This window comes from Homo sapiens, chromosome 2 (assembly GCF_000001405.40).
Source record: "Homo sapiens chromosome 2, GRCh38.p14 Primary Assembly".
Classification (NCBI taxonomy): domain Eukaryota; kingdom Metazoa; phylum Chordata; class Mammalia; order Primates; family Hominidae; genus Homo; species Homo sapiens.
The window spans coordinates 43,635,670-43,659,457 of record NC_000002.12 but is presented as its reverse complement, the minus strand read 5'-3'; the positions used below and the strand labels follow the sequence as shown (position 1 = coordinate 43,659,457).

The 23,788-nt window shown below is 39.7% G+C and overlaps 1 protein-coding gene across 8 annotated transcripts in view, besides 1 other annotated feature; it reads right to left on the bottom strand.

Moving 5' to 3' along the window:
• PLEKHH2 (pleckstrin homology, MyTH4 and FERM domain containing H2) overlaps window positions 1-22,198 on the bottom strand; it is a 130,728-nt gene extending 108,530 nt beyond the window's left edge. For 7 of the 8 annotated variants that reach the window (XR_001738621.2, XR_001738620.2, NM_172069.4 and 4 more), the window contains exons 1-2: window positions 22,079-22,198; window positions 14,662-14,787 (exon numbers count right to left, since the gene is read on the bottom strand). Coding sequence is in view for 5 of the 8 variants with exons in the window: in NM_172069.4 (NP_742066.2) it covers window positions 14,662-14,784 (123 nt within the window). In the remaining 3 variants the exon portion in view is untranslated. Of the gene's footprint in view, window positions 1-590; window positions 782-14,661; window positions 14,788-22,078 lie in introns of those variants that run through there. The other variant, XM_017003351.3, reaches the window with a different exon arrangement.
• Window positions 21,965-22,294: a silencer, noted in NCBI's record as "silent region_11427". NCBI's record gives its function as "represses an Ori minimal core promoter by ATAC-STARR-seq in GM12878 lymphoblastoid cells {active_cell/tissue: GM12878}" and the evidence as "EXISTENCE:reporter gene assay evidence [ECO:0000049][PMID:35858748]".

Sequence of the window (23,788 nt, the reverse complement as noted above, 5' to 3'; positions counted from 1 at the left end):
TGAAAGACTTCAGATTTCTTATGTTTAGGATTGTCAAAGAGATGAAATGAGAATAACATCTATTTTTTAAAGGACAAGAATTGAAAAAAAAAAGAAGAAAAACAGCAGGGAGGTGTTAAACAAGAACGACCAGGCGAGAAAATAAACCAGTTTAAAGTCTTTGCCAGGCTTGGTGGCTCACGCCTGTAATCCCAACACTTTGGGAGGCTGAGGCAGGCAGATAGATGGCTTGAGCCCAGGAGTTTGAGACCAGCCTGGGCAACATGACAAAAACCTCGCTTCTACCAAAAAAAAGAAAAAAATATATATATACAAAAATTAGCCAGGCATGGTGGCACACACCTGTATTCCCATCTACTCAGGAGACTGAGGTGGGAGGATCGCTTCAGCCCAGGAGGTCAAGGCTGCAGTGAGATGAGATCAAGTCACTGCACTCAGGCCTAGGCAACAGAGTGAGACTCTGTTTCAAAAAAAAAAAAAAAAAGAAAGAAAAAAAAGTCTTAAAAATTTAGAAATACATAGTCACTGAAAGAAAAAACTCAATAGATGGTTCAGTAGCCAGCCTCTAAATGTCTCGCAATGATCCTCACCTTCTGGTAATCACACCCATGTGTAGTTGCTTCCTTCACAACATAGGGCTGACCTTTGCAACCAACAGGATATTGTGGAAATGATGAAGTATGACTTCTGAGAGTAGGTCATAAGACGCACTGCATCTTCCACCTTGCATTCTCTTGGATGACTTGCTCTGGGGGAAGCCAGCCACCATGTTGTGAGAACCCTCAAGCAGTCCTGTGGAGACATCCACACACTTAGGGACTGAGGCTTCCTACCAACAGCCAATACCCATTTGCCAACAACCATTTTGGTGAACCATTGAAAGTGAACCCTCCAGCTCCAGTCAAGCCTTCAGATTACTACATCCCAGGCCAACATTTTGACTGCAACCTCATCAGAAACATAAGCTAAGTTGCTTCCAAATTTCTAATCCATAAAAACTGTGCAAGATAATAAATGCTTATAGTTGTTTTAAGCCATGAAATTTTGGAGTCATTTGTTAATACAGCAATAGATAACTAATACAGATGAAGTAAACTATACTCTGAACCCAGTAGAAGAGAGAGCTCATAACATGAAAAATGGTACAAACAATTCATGTATCATTTAATACACGTAAGTGTGAAAAATATAAATTACCAGATTTAAGAGACATGCAGAGACTTCAAAGTAATGGGAAGGAGCAGAAGAAAACAAGTGAGTAAATAGGAATAGCACAATTATGCTGAAAGATAAAAGTACACTCCCTGTATAATGCAGAATAATTGCCTAAGGCCTATATGTTTTATTTTAAAAAATGAAATGAAAGCTCAAGATAATAATACAAAGGAAGATGAAGAAATATTCAATGGGTAGTTGAATAATGTGAAGATCACTGTTCAGAAGACAGAAAATGATATTGTGTTAACTTTACCTTCTGCAAGGACAATTTATATTATGTATGTGTGTTATAATTTAAAGTGTAGGCACAATTGTAGATACAGAAGAAGGAGGGCAAAACTTACTGTTTACCCTTAAAATTTTAAGACACACAGGTAATATAAATAATTATCTGCGCCACCCTACACCAGTCTGCCCGGTATCTATCAATGCTGCAGATACTGGGAATACATTTAGAGATCATCTTCTGCAGAGGTAGGTCCACCTTCTTGAAGTACAGACAGACCTGCATGGTGCACTACATGTGAAACTTAAAAGATAAAAACAATTCAATTTCTCAATAGACAGAAACAAGTTTATGCTAGACAACCAGAAGGTGATCCAGTAACTCCTATCCCATGTGCTCTTTTTCCATGGGATGTCCTCCATCAAGAGATAAAAGATATTTCCCCTTCCCTTAAAACTGGGCCACCCTGTGATGGGCTTTGGTTGTTAGAATGCTTTGTACCTTTTGAGACTGGGCCTGAAGAGATTTGCAGCTTCCACTTGCTCTTTCTTGGAGCCCTGAATCACCATGGACAGAGATCTGGCTACCTTGGGAGCGGTTTAGTAGGGTGGCTCAGATAGTTTCCAGTTGTTTCACCACTCCCAGCTGAGGCATCAGATATGTGAGTGAAATCAAGGTGTGGCGGCGTGCACCTGTAATCCCAACTACTTGGAAGCACCTGTAATCCCAACTACTAGGAGGGCTGAGATGGGAGGCCAGGAGACCTAGACATCCAAGTGAAATCATCTTGGATATCCAGACCCAGCTGTCCGAGCACCCGCAGTGAGTCCACCCTCCAGCTGATTTGCCAACTGAATGCAGTCACATGAGTGATCCCATTCAATGCCAAACAGAGTAAAAGAACCACCAACAGAATCATGAACAAATAAAATGATTGTTAATTGAAGCCACTAAGGTTTTTTTGTTTTATTTTGTTTTGTTTTGTTTGTTTTTTGACACGGAGTTTTGCTCTTGTTGCCCAGGCTAGAGTGCAATGGCGCGATCTCGGCTCACTGCAACCTCCACCTCTCGGGCTCAAGCGATTCTTCTGCCTCAGCCTCCCAAGTAGCTGGGATTACAGATACTTGCCACCATGCCTGGCTAATTTTTTGTATTTTTAGTAGAGACAGGGTTTTACCATGTTGGCCAGGCTGGTCTCAAACTCCTAGCTTCAGGTGATCCACCCGCCTCAGCCTCCCAAAGTGCTGGGATTATGGGCGTGAGCCACTGCACCCAGCCCACTAAGGTTTTCTCTAATGGACAAAAATTGTATATATTTGTTGTGCACAACACGATGTTTTTAAATATGTATACATCGTGGAATGGCTAAATCAATAAAGCTGCTAAGTTTTGAGGTAGTTTTTTATGCAGCAATAGATAACTAAACCCCAAGGTTAGCCTGTTATGTGTAGATCTGTAAAGATAATCCTCTGACTATTCCTGTGATCATCTATCTGGTCATCATTCCACTGGAAGCCACTCTCATTTTGACATGCAGCTTCTAGGAATATCTTCATATCTTCTCTTAGCTCTCAGTCCTTGGATGTGAAATGGAGAAATTCAGTGTCTCAGCTTCAAGAATTATACTCATAAAAAGTACAGAGCTTTTCCTAACTTTCCATTCCACAAACTGTATAAACATATACCAAAAATAAATGTATTACACAGATTTGCTTTGTTTTGAGGCAAAAAAAATGCCCATTTAAATTGTTAAGATAGGCTGGGCACAGTGACTCATGCCTGTAATCCCAGCACTTTGGGAGACAGAGGCGGGCAGATCACTTGAGGTCAGGAGTTCGAGACCAACCTGGCCAACATGGCAAAATCCCATCTCTATCAAAAATACAAAATTAGCCGGCATGATGGCACACACCTATAGTCCCAGCTACTCGGGAGGCTGAGGCATAAGAATCACTTGAACCCAGGAGGTGGAGATTGCAGTGAGCCGAGATCATGCCACTGCACTCCAGCCTGGGCAATACAGCGAGACTCTATCTCAAAAAAAAAAAATCACTAAGATACATTCCAGATTAAATAGATGATGAAGTATTAATGGCACAATGATAAGTTAACCTTTAGAAGAAAGATTTTTCTGAACAAAGAATGTGTATTTTTTTCTTTTCATGAAAATGCATCTAATATTACAAATTAAAAGTCTGCTGCTGTTGCAAAGCTCAAGGAGCTGTTGAGGGCTGAATTACTCTCCCAGACGAAAAATCTCATTCAGTTGTAATAATCATCCTACCCCAAGTGAGATTTCCAACCCATCCCCACACAACCTTAGGCTTTCAAAGTAGGTCGTTTTGTGATCATGTTGGAAAAACCACTAGTTCTTTCTCTAGGACAAGGTGGGACATCTGAAGTCTTTCTGGTTGCCTGCCATTTTTCCATTCTATGGTTTCTAATGGATTTACACAACATTTAGCATCTTCCATTGTCCATCAAAGATACATAATTACCTAAATTTTAAGAGCTTCATGAAAGTTCAAATTGAAGGTGCTGGTTTCTGTTCCAGAAAATGCCTAGTTTCTAAAGTGTTATCTAAAGAAAAATCAATCCCAGCTATTGTAAGACTTTCAGCAGTTCCTGGTTTTGATACTCTGCTCTCCACTGCTCTTGATTTCCTAACCTTTCCTTCACCAAATCCCCCACCACTACACTATCCTATACAGATATTTTTTTGTTGTTTTTAATTATCCCCAACATTTCCTTGCCACATTCCAGTTTCAAGTTCTATTCTGTTATAAAGTATTTGTGCGGGCCTTTATTATTATTATTATTATTTTATTTTTATTTATTTTTTAGCCCAGGCATCATTATAGCACTGCAGCCCCCGGAACTTCTGGGCTCAGGCGATCCTCTTGCCTCAGCCTCCTGAGTAGCTGGGGCTACAGGTGTGCACACCACACCTGGCTAATTTTGATTTCTTTATTTTAATTTTTTTGAGATGGAGTCTCACTCTGTTGCTCATGCTGGAGTGCAGTGGCATGATCTCGGCTGGCTCACTGCAACCTCCATCTCCCAGGTTCAAGCAATACCCCCGCCTCAGCCTCCTGAGTAGCTGGGACTACTGGCGTGTGCCACTGTGCCCAACTAATTTTTGTATTTTTAGTAGAGATGGGGTTTCACCATGTTGTCCAGGCTGGTCTAGAACTCCTGACCTCAAGTGATCTGCCCACCTCAGCCTCCCAAAGTGCTGGGATTACAGGCGTGAGCCACCACGCCTGGCCTATTTTTTTAATTTTTTGGTAGAGATGCGGGGGGGGGGGGTGTCTTACTATGTTGCCCAAGCTGGTCTTGAACTCTTGGCCTCAAGCAATCCTCCCATCTCGGCCTTCCAAAGCACTGGGATTACAGACATGAGCCACTGTGGCAGCCAATGCTGGCCATTAAAAAAAAAAAAAAAAAAAGTTAAGGAGTTAAGAGTTTTAAGTGGTTACACTTAAAGAACAGAAATTCAGTGTATAAAAATCAACACCTGGCCGGGCGCAGTGGCTCACGCCTGTAATCCCAGCACTTTGGGAGGCCGAGGCAGGCAGATCACAAGGTCAAGAGATCGAGACCATCCTGGCCAACATGGTGAAACCTCATCTCTACTAAAAATACAAAAAAATTAGCTGGATGTGGTGGTGCACACCTGTAGTCCCAGCTACTCAGGAGGCTGAGGCAGGAGACTCGCTTGAACCGGGGAGGTGGAGGTTGCAGTGAGCCGAGATCTCAACACTGCACTCCAGCCTGGCAACAGAGCAAGACTCCGTCTCAATAAATAAATAAATAAATAACATAAAATGTCAACTACTTCCAAAAGGTTTATTAATAAAAGTAAATGTACTCTTTTAGCCAATTCTTTTAATATTTGCCTTCATGTTTTAAGTAACATGCTTCTGTTTCTTTTGACTTTTTTAGTTTAGTGATTTCTTATTCACTCACTTAATGAAAAATGAGGATTTAGCTCTCTGTTCTCCTTGCCATCCATCCAAACAAATACACTTCCTATCTCCCATTCTCCCAATATGTTTATATCTTACCTTTGGTTAAATCATTGTTCAGAAATAGTATTATTGTAACTATGTGTGATATTCAGAGCTGAACCATGTAAAACCATGTAAAAGAACTGTTTACTTTTTCCTTTCCTGTCTTTTTTTTCCTAGAGTTAAATGTCTTTTATTCAGCTTCTCATGAATGAATCAATAATTCAACTCCAAATTCCCACCACTGTGTAAATTGTCTCTCAAAATGTTTGTTCACGTCTGGTTTTCTACCAATTTCATGTTTTTAAGCCACTCCCAGAACTGACCTGTGCCAGGCTCAATTGGTTCACCTGTCTGCCTGGGCACAGCTGACTTCTTGGGGAGACCCCTCAACTTTCTCCCATATAGAATCTCTTGTTTCCTATATCCCATGCCTTCCTCGTTCTTGGTTTACTTCCTCCTTTTAATAAAGCACTCCTTCTGGAGAGTCCTCAGAGAAGTTACATGGGACCTTGAATGTCTTCAAAATATCTTTATTCTACCTTCAAATAAAATTCATAATTGGCCTCGGTGCAGAATTCTGGGTTTGATATAATTTTCCTTCAGAATTTTGAAGACATTTTTTCATTATCCTCTAATTTCTAGTGGTGCTTTTGAAAGGTCTGAAGCCATTTCAATTCCTGATGCTTTGTATGTGAACTGTTTTTTCCTCTGAAAGCTTGCAGAATCTTTTCTTTGATCTCTATATTCTAAACGTTCATTATGATGTAACTTGAGGTGGAAATTATGTTAATCTGTTATGGTAGGTTCTTGGTAGACACATTCAACTTGGAATCTTGTATGCTTCAATTCTAGGAAACTTTCTTGTATTGTTTCATTTATTTTCTTCCCTCCAGTCTTCCTATTACTTGGATCTTGGACATATTGAACTGGACCTCTAAATTTCTCATCTTTTCTCTCCTATTTTCCATCTCTTTAATGTTTTGCTTTACATCCCAGGAACTTTCCCTTAGTTTATATTTCAACCCTGCTCTTAGGTTTGCCATTTTTTCTACCATGTTTTTGGTTTTCTAAGAGCTCTTATTTATTCTCTGAATATTCCCTGTGTCATGGATGCACTATCCTTTCCTTTCTCTCTGAGAATATTAAATGATAGAGTTTTGCTCATTTTGTTTTGCTTACTTTTCCCCACATAGGCAATGCTGGTTTTTTCTGATTGTGCCCTGTCTTTCGTGTTAGAGGCTTTCTTCAGATGTCTGGTCATCCATGATGTGATACGTAGGTTTAAGGGTGAAGGACTAAAAAGCTGACTAGAAACTTTGGCACATATGTGGGGTTTGTTAACCAGAAAACCTAACCTTGGGTGTTCTGGCTGGGCTCCCTGTTGGGGAACTACTGATGTCAGCATCACTATTTCTTTCCTCCTGGACTCATGGAGTCCCTAGAGACTTCTATCTCCTCCTGTAGAATAAAGGGTGGCTGCTAGCATTTTAGGAGCCAAGTGGGAGAAAGGAGGTTGGGGGTGAAGGGCCAGCTTACCATTAAATATGCATACAGTCAGTTAGTTCCCCTATTTTTAGTGTAGCAGAGTTCTGGATAGCATAGCCTAGAATAAGGCTTGGAGAATAAGGCTTGAGCTCCTCCTTCTAAGGGCCAAATGCCCTGCAGAGCCCTGTAAAGACCTAGAGGCGGAGTGACATGAAAGACTGAAAACAGTAGGTATTAATGTAAAATCTGTGGCCCTTAGAGTCAACTAATTCATTGAAACCTTCTCTCTTAAACCCATCTGCCAAATGTCTAGCAACTAAGCATTTACTTCCTGCTAAAAAATTGAAAAGTTATTCTCTTACAAAATTGAATAAGTGAATTGGAGTGCACTAGTCCAACAGCTATGGCATCTATGACCTCACCGCCCAGCAGATACTCTCCCACCCTCTCACACTAAAGAAAAGATTGACTGCTAACCAGCAACTGACCATTTATACATAATTGTCAGTTTACTTTGCAGGTGTCCTATTCTTAAATATAAATAGACCACTAAAAATCATCAGACATTTGAGAAAAGTTTGCAACCTGAAAAGTAATTACAAACATAAAAACAGGAAAATAATCCTAGAAGAAAGAAAGATAATTCAGGGAACAGAAGATAACTTTTTAAAAATTCAAATTAGTGTTTAGGAACCAGGAACTTTCAAATACATTATTTCACAGCTATGCTATGAGACAGGAATTGTTATTCCCATTACAGAGATTAGGAAATTGATGTTCAGAGTGAATATGCCTTGTTCATGGCTGGGATTTCAGTCTTCATGTTCTGATTCCCTAATGCCCTTTTAGTTGAACCACAGGTGCTATAGAATTTATATGCCAGACGCACACAGTGTATAGTTATACAGAACTATATGAAAATCAGAGTCCCAAATACAAAAAAAAAGACACAAAAATCTTAGCTGAAAAGCATTTGTCTTGATTTCTGTCCTTTGCTATTTGTTCAGCCTAGGAATCTTTTATCTGTAACTTAAAAGCATAACATTCATAATAGGAAAAATGCTAAGTTACATGTTATCAGGGAACTTATCACAGAAAGAAACAAAGGGATAGAAATATAACCAAGAGAGGCTAAATTTGAAATTTGAGGGCCGGGCGCGGTGGCTCACGCCTATAATCTCAGCACTTTGGGAGGCCGAGGCGGGTGGATCACAAGGTCAGGAGTTCGAGACCAGCTTGGCCAAGATAGTGAAACCCTATCTCTACTAAAAATACAACAATGGTTGAGGCAGGCATAATGAATACACATAACAGAAACTCAATGTTTGCTGAACAAAATGAATAAATGAATGAATGAATGAATGAATGAAAAGATTTTAACTCCAAAAAATTATGTTGTGAGGATAAACTTTGATAAAGGGTAATCACTACATTTTCACAATCTATATTACAAATTATAAATTCTGAACACTTCACATTGCATTAATGTAAATATACATTAGGTATATCCAATAAAACTTAGATTATTTTAAAACCAGTTTAAATATAACAGTAGTAGGAAAGGTAATGCTGGCCAGGCGCGGTGGCTCATGCCTGTAATCCCAGCACTTTGGGAGCCCAAGGTGGGCAGATCACAAGGTCAGGAGTTCAAGACCAGCCTGGCCAACATAGTGAAACCCCGTCTCTACTAAAAATACAAAAAATTAGCCAGGCATGGTGATGCATGACTGTAGTCCCAGCTACTTGGGAGGCTGAGGCAGGAGAATTGCTTGAACCCGGGAGGTGGAGGTTGCAGTGAGTAGAGATCGTACCACTGCACTCCAGCTTGGGCAGCAGAGTGAGACTTCAACTTAAAAAAAAAAAAAGAAAAAAGAAAAGAAGAAAGGTAATGCTTTGCTTTTGAGTGATTATTTGTTTCTATTAATATAATCATTCAAGCTGGACAATAACTTTGCAAAATACTCAAAAAAGCAATGCAGACAATATTCATGTAAGTTTTTACTTTCACAATATAGACTATAATGTAAACCTTGGGTCAATTCCATAGCCAATCTATATTAAGTCAGTAAAAGAAACCTGAAATGGCCGGGTACAGTGGCTCACGTCTGTAATCCCAGCACTTTGGGAGGCCAAGGTGGGCAGATCAGTTAAGGTTAGGAGTTTGAGACCAGCCTGGCCAACATGGTGAAACCCCATCTCTACTAAAAATACAAAAATTAGCTGGGCATGGTGGTGCACACCTGTAATCCCAGCTACTCAGGAGGCTGAGGCAGGAGGATCACTTGAACCCAGGGGGCAGAAGGCACCACTGCACTTCAGCCTGGGCAACAAAGCAAAACTCCATCTCAGAAAAAAAAAAAAAAAAAAAAAAGGAAAGAAAAACAAACCTGAAATGATCTATGGTCCCATATCAGGCTTTAGACAAAAATAAGTATTTTATGAACAGGCCAATTATGTAATAACAAAATGAAGCAGCAAATTCTAAGTGCTTAATTTACTGCTACAGAAGTACCCTCTGTAGCCAAAGTGAACTTAGCAGCAAGTGGCAGAGGGAAATTTGCCACTGAGCCTGTATACTTACAGAGCCTCTCATTGTTAAAGGGATTGTATACAAATAAATTTGTTTAATGGATTGGTTAATTTAGGTGGAATCCTTTAGGACCTTCACACCCACTGATGTGGACAGCAGTTCCCTGCCACGTGTCTCTCTTCCTGACTTTTCCCCCACAGACCCCATGAAAGATTCTACCACCAAACATTATTTGATGTTGTTATAATAAATAATATCTTCAACCAGTAACCAAAGATGTGACATTTAAATTAGCCTATACGGTCCCATTGTTAGTATATGTAGAATTTCCATTAGACACTGTGAAACATTAGGCAAGCCAGTAGAGTAACTGAGGGAATGTATAATTTAAATAGGTTAATCATGATATTGTACTGGATTGTTGGGTAAAAGCATATACTATGCTGTCCAAGGACTCCTTATTCCTATGAGGCAATCCAAGTCTGCTTCAAGGGGATCACATTCACAAAAGAAATGCCAAGTGGCAGGAAATTCCAGATGGCAATGCCACATCAGGTAGAGGTAGCATGAGGTTATGCGAGCAATGCTGATGTCCAAAGGGAAAATTCTTCATATTTTTCTCCCTTTCCTTTTCACCGAAAATCTAACTCATAGGAAATAACATTTCACTTCAACTGACAAAGAAACTTTCCTTTTTCCCTCCCTGACTCAGAAACTAACTAGTAATATTGTAAAGTAGGAAAACTACTTAAATCTCAGCTTCCCTGAAGAGTTTATATTTGGCATACTAGGGATATTTCCAACACCATTCCTTAAATTCCTCTAAAGACCTCTCCCACTTACAGCAGCACTTGCCCAAGACTTCAATAAGGCCTTTTTCTTCACAAGCTTCAATATTCTAAGTTACTTGGAAACTGTGATGAAAAAAAATAGGTGCAAAACAACTTTTCTAAAAGATCCCATGTATTATCCAACTTCATCTCCAAAAATATAGGGCATATATAATTGAAATTCATCTCTAATTATAAAAACACCTAGATCATCTCACATATTTTTCCTTTAAAAATTCAGAAATACATCTGCTATCAATATGTAATTACATTTAAGGCCAGGCACGGTGGCTCACGCCTGTAATCCCAGCACTTTGGGAGGCTGAGATGGGTGGATCACTTGAGGTCAGGAGTTCAAGACCAGCCTGGCCAACATGGTGAAACCCCGTCTCTACCCAAAATACAAAATTAGCCAGATGTGGTGGCCCATGACTGTAATGCCAGCTACTTGGGAGGCTGAGGTGGGAGAATCACTTGAATCCAGGAGGTGGAGGTTGCAGTGAGCCAAGATTGCGCAACTGCACTCCAGCCTGGGCAACAGAGTGGGACCCCGTCACACACACACACACACACACACACACACACACACACACACGAATGTAATTACATTTAGGTCACCTCCCCTGTTCACTTAACCAGTGTGTCCATTCAGAAAGACACAGGAAAAAAAGCTGGGCACAGCAGCTCACGCCTGTAATCCCAGCACTTTGGGAGGCTAAGGCGGGCGGATCACAAGGTCAGGAGTTCGAGACCATCCTGGCCAATATGGTGAAACACTGTCTCTACTAAAAACACAAAAATTAGCCAGGCGTGGTGGTATGTGCCTGTAGTCCCAGCTACTCATTAGGCTGAGGCAGAAGAATCGCTTGAACCTGGGAGGCGGAGGTTGCAGTGAGCTGAGATGGCGCCACTGCACTCCAACCTGGGCAGCAGAGCAAGACTCTGTCTCAAAAAACAAACAAACAAACAAACAAAAAAAACCAGAAAGACACAGGAAAATAATAACGAGTTACTTCTGTGTGCCAGACGCTCTATTAGCTGCATCACAAGTCTGAAAGATCTACGGTCTAACGGCAGCTCTGCTTTTTGTTAGCTGTGTGATATTGGGCATGCTACTCAATTACTCTCAGCCTTAATGTTAATTCTCTAGATTGAGGATAATAACAATCACCTCATAGGGTTACTGTGGGGTTTAAACTAGTTGATGGTTGCAGTAAAGACTTAGGAACCATATTTGGCCGCTAGAGTCAGCTTCCTATAGCCATAACTAATAAAATGGAACTAAGAACTAGAACTGTTGCAGGAAAGAGAAGTTGGCCACAATTCCGGGCAAAGAGCTAAAGAACCAAATTAGTATTCTCTCAAGAATCTTCACCCTTGGGCCTGCATCCATTTAGGGGGAAGGTATAGAGCACTATTAGGGAGAAGCCCTGGGGCTGACTGGTGCTAACACAAAACCAAAGAGGTGGATAGGACCAGACCAGTCTCTGGAATGCAACATTTGACTCGAGTTGGCACTTAGAAGCAATGCCATACGGTTTGCATTGAAAAATACATAATGTTAGGTAAATCGTTATTACTACATACATACATACACACACAGGTAGCTGCCCCCAAGCAGAAGTGGATTTTTATGTTGCATGGCTGAATAGAGGACAGAATGGATGAGTGGATAGATATATCAGAGAAGGCAAGGAAGGTGAAAATTAGAAAGGCCATATAGGCTGATAGCTAAGCCTTCAGGCTTAAAAAGACAGAATGCCTGGGTTTGAATCTTGGCTCCACTACTCACTTTTTAGTGTGAACTCAGTCAAGTTAAATAACTTTTCTATGCCTAAGTTTCCTCTTCTGTAAATGTGGATAATATTAGTAACTACCTCATAGGATAGTTATAAGGATTTAAAAGTTTATATATTTAAAGCACTTAGAAGATTTCTTGGCATAGTAAGCAACAGTTTCCTAATCTATAAAATGAGCACAATAAAATGTATTACTTCACAAGTTGTTATAAGAATTAAATAAATCATACCATACCTATACAGAGCTTATCCTATACATAATAAATCAATAAATATTAGATATTTTCATTAAAACATGGATGGAGACCAAAAGAAATTTTTAAACCTGAGAAAAATATTCATAATGGAATATAACAGAAAATATTGTGAAAATCCTTATTCATATTTTTGTGTTGAATATATTTATTGGGAAGCCATGAGTAACTTGGCACATTTATCTACTTTCCAATGTGTAAAACACATCAGAATAATTCCATCTCTTAGATCTGCCAAAGAATTTATGTCACAGATACGAAATACAGACCAAAAAAAAAAAAAGAAGAAGAAAATTAAAGAAAAAGAAACCACAACTAGAACAGCAATTCCGAAATAACATTCCTATCAATGTTCATTCACTGACAAAGAAAACATTTAATCTGATAGCATAAAAATTAATAATAAAAAAGCTATTTTACTTATAGAGAAATTACTGGAGATAACAACACTTTTATTATTTTTAAAATGGGCACTCATTGAGAAACTTGCTGCAACATGCTTTCTAAAGAACAGAACAAATGTTGCCATAAAATTTAGAATTTAAAGGTCAACTAATTGCAACCCAAATAAGCTAATATCTTCTATTTAGTCCATAAGGAAGCCAAACGAGTACAGAAGTCAAGAAAAGCAGGAAAATTTTGAGAGGGATCCTGTGGTCAACAGTGTCAACTGCTGAGAGGCTTAGGCAACAAATGGGAAGTGTCCATGAGGTTTAGTAATAAGGACATAATTGGTGGATCCTGACAAAAATCACTGTATGGGGCAGTTGGGGTTGTTGGAAAATACCGGATAAATCATAGTACAACATGGAAAATGATTTTCATTGACAGAAGAGCAAAAGATAAAAGATGAGTCACTAAGTTACGTTAGAAAAAACTTCTCCAACTTGGAGATACTCAAACTGGGATTTTATAAGCTATAATTTTAATAATTTTGATGTAATATCAATAAATAAAGCACATTGAAGTTCAGGATTCATTGACTGATTGATTACTGAGTCATCCTTGACCCAAAGTGAGTAAGGATAACTTTAGTCTTCTACCTAAAAGATGTTAAAGCCCAAAAGTTTGAGATGATATATATGCAAGTTTAGACTTAATGATGTTTTGCTGAATGTTATTATAATAATTCTGTACTAAGAGATTCTTGGCTAGCAATGAAAGGAAGATTTAATACCTTTTTTGGAGATATGATACATGTACCAATCTCCATCCCAAAAGGATTATGCAGATTAGTGTTTCAGAAACCACCTGTAAGTTCTTCTGATCAGTTCTGAATAACCACTAATATCATTCATCCATTCATCCAGACAGTGCTTTCCAATAGAAATATAATATGAGCCACAGGTGTGATTTTAAATTTTCTAATACACACGTTTAAAAAGTAAAAAGAAGTGGGTAAAATTAATTTTAATATTGCCTATTTAACCCAATATCCACAATATCATTTCAACATATAATCAATATAAAAATTATTGCTGAGATATTTTACATTCTTTCATGCTAAAACTTTGAAATCCTGTATTTATTCTACTTTTACAACACACCTCAATTTGAACTAGCCTTATCTGAAGTGTTGAACATCCACATGTGGCTAGTGGCTACTGCATTGGGACAGCAGAGGTCTAGAATTCAAGTTCCCTGGAAATAGGAATATGGGTTGTCTTGTTCATATATGTAACTGTAGTATTAAGAACGGTGTCTAACACATAATTAGCCCTCAAAGAATATTTGTTGAATGAATAAATGAACAAATCTATTGGTTTTATACACATACTTGCAAAAAATTCCTGTAATATAAATGAAATTCTAATTACATGATTAGAAAAGCATATAATTATTTTAAACTCAATTCTAGCCCAGGCAAGAATTTAGCAATATATACTTAGTCAACACAGATTCCTAAGTAGATACATCTTTCAAATACGGTATAAACACATTTTACTATCAATAGATAATTTTTTTCTATAATCCCTTCAATATGATTTTTGTAAACATTTAGTAGATCAAAGCTGTCATACTCCTCTAATAAAATCAAATAAATTATAGCTTTCTCTCTGGAATGAATGAACTCTACATTCACCAAACATACACGGTTCTCACATATGCCACTAGCATTTGCAAATAAATATTTTTTGTCTTAAAGTCCAATCTACCCTAACACTGGCAAAAGAATATGCCAAATATAGCTTCAAATACTTGACAAAAATTAAATCAAACCCCCAAAGTACTGAGATTATTTAATATAAATGAAGCAGACCCTAAATAGCTGACATTTAATAACAAAGCTTAGGGAGAAAGCTTACCTTCTCTGCTAAAAGCTCTCGTATCTTGCTTGCTTGAACTCTAAATTTCATGAGTTGGGACTCCAGAGCTACACATCGTTCCTTCCAATCTACTGGTCCCTCTGGCTCAGAAAGCTCTGCCATATTCTAAAAAAATTAAATAAATAAACAAAAAATTAAAAAGTAAAACATTCAAATGCTACAACACAATTAATATTCAGGATAATTTGTTAAATTACCCAATGTACACATTATAATCACTGTCTAGTGAGATCCATGTACAAATTTTAAATTCTAAGACAAATTCCAGAACTGGTGAGAACTTATGGAAAGAACTTAATGGGAAATAGGAGACTAAGGCTGGATGGAGCCCAACTGTGCTACTTAACCTTTCTATGTCTCAGTTTAGCCAATCCAGAAAAGGGGGCATGTTGACAACAAACCATTATTCCTTGTGGGTATGTAGTGAGGGACAAATGAAATACTGCTATTTCTAGTAGAACAGACAGTATAACAACACCACACAAACACAGAGTGTTATTATTTTAGCTGTGCCCAACAGATAAGATTGTTTGAATCTATCAGCTCATAATTTTACCATATTCTGAAATTTAAGGAAGTATTACAGTTTGATTCAATTGCTACAATTCACGGTTTGGATTTTTACTATAATGATTCCTTATCATCACTCTCAATTTGGCCAGGTCCAGGTTAAGTCTTTCAAGCCAGAGGTCCTTTGGCGTATTTAAGGGTAAGTTGTTGTGATCCTGACAAGTTTGCATAATTTTTATTTGGTGTAAGAGAAGGCACATATACATGCAATTTGGAGTTAGCCATATGAAGTAAATCTGGAATTAGTGTTTTCCATATTAACTTTCCTTTGGGAGGATATTAATTGCAGGGAGAAGCACTGTAAGGGGGAGGACAAGATGCAAGGGAATTGGTTTTGAAATTTTGAAGTGTTACTTGATTTTGGAAGCATGATGGTTTCTGGCTCTGAGATACATAAAAGTAGTTTTAAATGTTTGGTAATATTTTATCAGGCTATTTTTAATAAGCAGCCTAATAATGTATTTCTGAGTTCCCCTTGCTATGAACTGCCCTGCTATGAAATTTACATTAGGAATGGAAAGCCTCAGTTATGAAGAACGGTGACAGCAAAACTCTCAGAGCCCTGGAATGGAACTGCAGTTGAAGTATACTATTCTATTCTTTTGTTTTCTAAAAATATAACCACATTGATTTTCCCAGTATTTAGCGTAATATAGAATCCTCCCTAATCCTACACCAGTTTTTAAAAACTTTATGCTGCTAAAAACCCACTAAAAGATTATTTTCCTAGCATGAAGATTGTTTTGTACTTAAATCAATTTTCACATTAATACTGACAATATTCAGTACGTTAGAAATAAATATAAGCAGAATCGTTCTTAAAAGACTACAACATTTATTAAGTGCACCCCAGCTTCTTAAAGCCTTCAGATGTCCCCAAATTCTAGCCTTAATTTAAAGGAAACATATTACTGTAGAGCTGGAAGTCATTTTATTTTCATTTCTTTGTTTTCATAGAATCCTTGCCCCATTGTTTCCTGAGGTTTTTCCTAAGGAGATTAACCTTGTTAATAACCTTTTCCATTACCCATATTAGCATTTATGATTAATGATTCACATTGGCATTTACTAGCAATGATTTAGGAGTAGATAATGCAGTTTGTCGATCACAAACACGTTCACAGTTCTGGGGCTGCTTCATTTTTCTCCTTATTAGCTTTAGAGCGAACAGGGAAAGAAAATATGGATGCAATACTAGAAAATAAAAAGTAGGCCTGAAAGGGGCATCTTTACGTCTTGAACTACCATATCATTCCGCAGAAATGTAGGGATACTCTTCTAGCTTAAGGAATAAGAGGAGTCTATTTACCTATTTGTTAATAGGTTAATACTGGTTAATTTTTGCTCTACATGTAAAATAACTTGCCTATGTCCTACAGTAAAATGTCCACAGTTTTAAAAATAACATGAAGAGTGGATATTTTTCAACAAATTGAAATCAATCAATGTAATGCACCATGTGAAAAGAATAAAGAACAAAAACCGTATGATCATTTCAATAGACACAGAAAAATCATTCAACAAAATCCAACACCCCTTCATGATAAAAATATTCAAGAAACTACAAATAGACAGGAACTTCCTCATCCTGATAGAGGACGTTTACTAAAGCCCACAGCTAACATCATACTTACTGATAAATGACTGACAGTTTTCTCCCTGAAATCAGGAACAAGACAAAGATGTCTTTTCTCACCACTTCTATTCAACACTGTAATAGAGATAATAGCCAGGGCAAGACAATAAAATAAAAAACCATCTAGATTGGACAGGAAGAAATAAAACTATCTCTACTTACAGATGACATGATCATGTGCATAGAAAATTCTAAGGAATCCACAAAAAAATACTAAACTATAGAGTTTAGCAAGGTTTCAGGAAATCAGATCAACATACAAAAGTCAGTTGTTTTTCTATACACTAGCAAGGAAAAATCCAAAAATGAAAATAAGAAAATATTCCATTTACAATAGCATCAAAACTAATAAAATATTTAGGAATGAATTTAACAAAAGAAGTGCAAAATGTGTGCACTGAAAACTACAAAACATCACTGAAAGAAATTTAAAAATACCTAAATAAATGGAAGAAATTGTATATTCATGGATTAGAAGACTTAATATTGTGAAGATGGCAATACTTGCAAATGGCTATATACACACAATGCAATCTCTATCAAAGTTGCAACTGCATTTTTTGCAGAAATTGACAAGCTGATCAAACTTTGCCTGGAAATTCAAGGGCTGAAGAATAGACAAAATAAAATTGAAAAGTTGGAGGACTCACATGTTACTATTTCTAAACTTACTACAAAGCTATACAGTAGCTTGATTACACAGTGTGGTACTTGCATAAAGATAGATATATAGATAAACAGAATAAAGTTAAGTCCAGAATTAAAGCCTCACATTGATTTTTGGCAAGAGTGATAAGATCATCCAATGGGGGAAAGAATAGTCTTTTCAACAGATGATGCTGGGACAACTGGATATCCATATGTAAAAGAATGAATGTGGACCCATACCTCATACCATATATACACAGTAACACAAAATGGATCACAAACTTACAGGTACCAGCCAAAGCTCTAAACCAGGGGTGTCCAATCTTTTGACTTCCTTGGGCCACGTTAGAAGAAGAATTGTCTTGAGCCACACATAAAATACACTAACACTAAAGGTAGCTGATGAGCTAAAAAAAAAAATTGCAAAACAAATCTCATAATGCTTTAAGAAAGTTTACAAATTTGTTTTGGGCCACATTCAAAGCCATCCTGGGCTGCCTGTGGCCTGCAGGCCACAGGTTGGACACGCTTGCTCTAAACTCTTAGAAGAAAAGAGGTATAAATCTTCATGACCTTGGATTAGGCAACAGATTCTTAGATATGACACCTAAAGCACAAGGAATCGAAGAAAAAATAGATAAATTGGACTTCATAAAAATTTTTAAATTTTTGTCCTTCAAAGGACACTATCAAGAAAGTGCAAAGATAACCCACAGAATGGGAAAAATAGTTGCAAATCATGTATCTCAGGGATTTGTGTCTAGAATATATAAAGGACTCTTAGGACTCAACGATAAAAAAAGATAACCCAATTAAACAATGGGCAAAGGCCTGGACGTGGTGGCTCATGCTTATAATCCCAGCACTCTGGGAGGCCGAGGCGGTTAGACTGCCTGAGCTCATGAGTTTGAGACCAGCCTGGGCAAGGTGGCAAAACCCTGTCTTTATTAAAAAAAAAAAAAAAAAAAAAATTAGCCAGGCATGGTGGTGCAGGCCTGTAGTCCCAGCTACTTGGGGGTTGAGGCAGGAAGATCACTTGAGCCCAGGAGGTCGAAGCTGCAGTGAACCATGTTCACACCACTGCACTCCAGCCTGGGCGACAGAGGGAGACCCCGATCTTTAAAAACAATAATAATAATAAATTAAAAATAAATAAATAAAAATGGGCAAAGTATCTGAATAGAGATTTATCCAAAGAAGATATACAAATGGCCAATAAGCACATTATTTGCTATGAGAGAAAATGCAAATCAAAGTCACAACAACATTCCACTTCACATCAAATAGGATGTTCTAATGAAAAAGACATCTAACAACAAGTGTTGGTGAGGATGTAGAGAAATGGGAACCCTCATACATTGTTGGTGGGAATGTAAAAATGGTACAGCTGCTTTGTAAACAGTTTTACAGTTCCTGAAAAGTTTAAACAGGCCAGCATGGTGGCTCACGCCTGTAATCCCAACAGTTTGAGAGGCTGAGGTTGGAGAATTCATCTCTGAGGTCAGGAGTTCAAGACCAGACTGTGCAACATAGCAAGACCTCATCTCTATCAAAAAATTTAAAAATCAGCTAAGCGTCGGGGAGCTTACCTGTGGTCCCAGCTACTCGGGAGCCCTGTGTGGGAGGATCACTTGAGCAGTGAGCTATGATCATACACTGCACTCCAGCCTGGGTGACAAGAGTGAGACACCGTCTCAAAAAAAAAAAAAAGTTTAAATATAAAGTTACCAAGTTATTGGAGTAACTTTATATTTGGTATATCAATATAAAGTATTGGTAACTTTATACTTGGCATTGGAGTTGCTGGGTCATATGCCAAGGGATGGGGTCATATGCCAAGGGATGAAATACACATCCACACCAAAACTTGTAAATAAATGTTCAGAGCAACATTATTCATGATAGCCAAAGAGTAGAAACAGCCTGTGTCCACCATCAGATGAATGAATAAAATGTAGTAGATCTGGCTGGGTGCAGTGGCTCACTCCTGTAATCCCAGCACTTTGTAGGGCAAAAGCAGGTGGATCATCTGAGGTCAGGAGTTCAAGACAAGCCTGGCCAACATGGCAAAACCCCGTCTCTACTAAAAATACAAAAATTAGCCAGGCATGGTGGTGCAGGCCTATAATTCCAGCTACTAGGGAGGCTGAGACAGGAGAATTGCTTTAACCCAGGAGGCAGAAGTTGCAGTGAGCTGAGATCCTGCCATTGCACTCCAGCCTGGGTGACAGAGTGAGACTCTGTCTCAAAAAAAAAAAAAAAAAAAAAAAAGTGGTACATCCATACAATGGAATATTATTCGGCCATAAAAAAGGAATACAGTACTAATACACGCTATAGTCATGGAAGAGCCTTGAAAACATTATGCTAAGTGAAAGATGCCAGACACAAAAGGCCACATATTGTATGAGTCCATTTACATGAAATGTCCATAAGAGGCAAATCCAAAGGACAGAAAGTAGGTTAGTGGTTGCCAAGGGCTGTGAGGAGAAGGTAGCAGATACTGACTACAATGGATAGGGGGTTTCTTTTTGGGGTGATGAAAATATTCTAGAATTAGATATTGGTGATGGCTATACAACCTTGTGAATATACCAAAACCCAGTGAACTGTATACTTTAAAAGGAAAAATCTTATAGTTTGTGACTTATATTAAGATCTCAATAAAAAAGATCACATATTTACAAATGACTAAAGAAAAAGTCGCAGTTTAAATGGATGTATACTAGGACTGCATTTACAAATTTAATCAACCATTATTTGTGGTTATCCCTGCCAAGAATTTCACAATTAGCTCAAAAAATTGAGAGGTAACTGTTAACCCCAAATATGAAAAGTATCATACATATATCTTACCTAGCGCACTTTGCTATGATGACATAATAAATTAATTCAAAGTCAAACATACCTATTTCTTTAGTTATGCTAATTATATATTTTATAGTGAAGTAGCAAAGCCTTAAGAATATTATTAAATTGGCATTTAACATCTACATTCCCTATTAATGGGTCATAATAAATCAGAACTGCAAATTGGTTGGATAATGGTCTGCACTGAGATCCAGACACCTGATTCCCTCATTTCATTCTGTAATTTCAGTTAGTTAACAAGTACAAAGCAACTGTTGTATTAGTGCACCATCTTGGGTAGTTAAAAATTCTAATTTTAAACAATATCCGCCATCCTTTTCATTACCACTAATGTTATAGAACTATATAACATTGGGAATATATATATAACTATATAACATAGCCGACTGCTAAATAAAGAAAATACCACATATAGATTCTGAATTTGAAAGGAATCTATCATGTCTAGATTCTGCATTTGAAAATAATCTATCTTCACTTCAGGGGACAGGAAAAAGTCTTGGAGTTCCAAATACCCCCAGTGATTTTTGGAAGTATTTACTGACATAAGATAAACTGTTTACAATTGTGGAGTGAATGCTCTTTTCTCTGAATCTCTGACTTCCTGTTTCTCTTCCAAATCCCAAAAAGGAAAGAAAAAGAAATGAAAGAATTATTCTACTTAGGCTTACCCTGATGAAGCGCAGCGTTAGTCTCTATGATATTCTTTAGTTTTTGCCTCTTAAGGGACAGCTTAACTGGGCTGGGTAATCGTGTGTGTGAGTGTGTGTGTGTGTGTGTGTGTGTGTGTGTGTGTGTGTGTTAAAAGATCTTTCTCGACGAGACTGAGGCATGCCTTGTTTAAGGAACCTTCTGACCACCACCTAGCCACCTAGCCCCACTTGGGCAACGCCTGCCCTTCGGTGACCCTGCCCAGAACAGCCGAGCTCCTCACTACATACTCCTCTGGGACACACCGCTGTGCGGGCCAGGCTTCCAAGACTGGCATTTTCACAAAGAAAGCAGTGACCCTCAGGTAGCCCACCACCAGAGCTTTTCCAATGTAAGTGGTTCGACTTCTATTTCCACAGCGTTACGCACAACAATATCGACGGGTAAAAAGTGTTGTCCTTTAAAAAGTGCCCCACTAACTTCGGGGACAGTGGTTTCCGGGTAGGTCACCTTAGGGTGCTTTGACGTGCCAGCAACTCGAGGTGTACAAAATGCTTCTTTAAAGTTTTGAGTTTAAAGTTTCGCCCCGGAGATCCTGGTGGATCTCCCGAAGCCTAAGGCGAGCGCGGCATCCCTGACCGCGCGGGTCCCTCGGCTCGGGGACCCTGGGCTGCCCCGCTGCGCCCCCGGGACCGCTCGCGCCGCGCCAGAAGCCCGGGCCCAGTGTTTCCAAACAGAACGTCACGGGAGCCCACGGGCGCGAGGGACCGCCGGCCACCGCCCCCTGCCCACCTCTCCCGGCGACATCCAGACTTGGGGGCCGACTCTGGGCTGTGGCGGGAGGTGCAGCGGCGGATCCCGAGTCAGCCCGCTCCGTCCCTCTCGTCCCCGCCTTCCCGCTCCTCCCGGCGCCCCAAACCTCGGCCCCGCGAGCCCCCCTGGACGGGGCGCCCTCAAGGGGGCGGGGATCCCAGGGTGGCAGGAACTCTGGAGTGGCCCCTCGTCCCCGGGCTTTCTCACCTGTCTATCTCAGCAGCGGGTCCCCGGCCGCAGCGCCCGATGTCCCGGCCGCGACTGGCCCCCGGGATCCCCGGACTCTCAGCCCGCGCCCGCCTCAAGCCGAGCTCGGAGAGGGCGGGGAAGGGCACCGCCTCCTCCAGGGACTGGCAGCCGGTGTAGCCAATGGGAGACCACAGCCGACCACCGGGCGTCACCGGGGGTGTGGCTATAACTTTGGCTCCTCCCAGTCCCTGCCCCAGGAGGGAGCTCTGTCCTGGAGTGGTACCCCTAACGTCCCAACTGCGAGACTCCAGAGCTTGCTGCAGCGGCCGGTCACCTTCATTCCACTCCGTCTGCCTGGACTGTTGCAGCACCCTCCCTTGGTCTCCCAGTCTGAAGTCTCTCCTCTTGCCAATCCACCCTTCATCTTCCTGCCAGGTTAATTTCCTTAAGAGCAGTTTTGATGAACAGTGTGCCAAAGACTTTCATTGGCTTCCGTTTGCTTAAATTATCAAGAACAGATTCCCTAGTCTAGTGTTCAAGGTCTCCATCCCGTCTTTTCAGGTTTATTTCTCACAGCTGCCCTTCACACACCTGAGACTACTGCTGTGCACCTCGCCACCCGAAGGAAGTGGCACTAGGAGCGTTTACATGCTATTTCCTGTCTCCACTTCAAAAAGCTCAGAATAATCTTCTCACCGGGCGCAGTGGCTCACGCCTGTAATCCCAGTACTTTGGGGGACCGAGGCAGGTGGATCACTTGAGGCCAGGAGTTCGAGACGAGCCTGGGCAACATGGTGAAACCCTGTCTCTACCAAAAAAAAAAAAAAAATATATATATATATATATATATATACACACAAAAAAAAAAAATTAGCTGGGCTTGGTGGCGCTCACTTGTAGTCCCAGCTACTCAGGAGGCTAAGGCTGGAGGATTGCTTAAACACAGGAGATGGAGGCTGCAGTGAGCCGCGATCATGCCACTGCACTGGATCCTGGGCGACTGGGCGAGATCCTGTCTCAAATCATCATCATTATCATCATCATCATCATCATCATCTTCTCCATGTAACTATGTCTGTCGCTCCACCTGGCAGAAATGTCGTCTCTGGGCCGGGCGCAGTGGCTCATGCCTGTAATTCCAGCACTTTGGGAGGCCGAGGAGGGCAGATCACGAGGTCAAGAGATCGAGACCATCCTGGCCAACATGGTGAAACCTGGTCTGTACTAAAAATACAAAAATTAGCTGGGCGTGGTGGTGCACGACTGTAGTCCCAGCTACTCGGGAGGCTGAGGCAGGAGAATCGCTTGAACCTGGGAAGCGGAGGTTGCAGTGAGCCAAGATAGCACCACTGCACTCTAGCCTGCCTACAGAGCAAGACTCCATCTGAGACAAAAAAAAAAAAAAAGGTCTTCTCTGGTTTCTGCTCCCTGAACATCTAGATTTTTGCCTCTCTTGGGGCTTAGCTCCCTCTGCCTTATGCACAGCTCCTCACATCTCTTTTAGACTGTGAGCACTTTGAAAACAAGGATTTGTGGTTTTTTTTTTTTTTTTGCATTCTCCTCAGCACAGAGCATATTGCATAAGTAAATTAGTGATAATTTAAATCCAGGTGAATTTTACATCCCAACTTAGGGTCTGGAGAGGTCAATCTCAGGGTAAAATAAAGAGAATTCTGAATGTTATGGATAATCGTTCCCCAGGTCACAAAGCTAGGTCAGACAGATTAT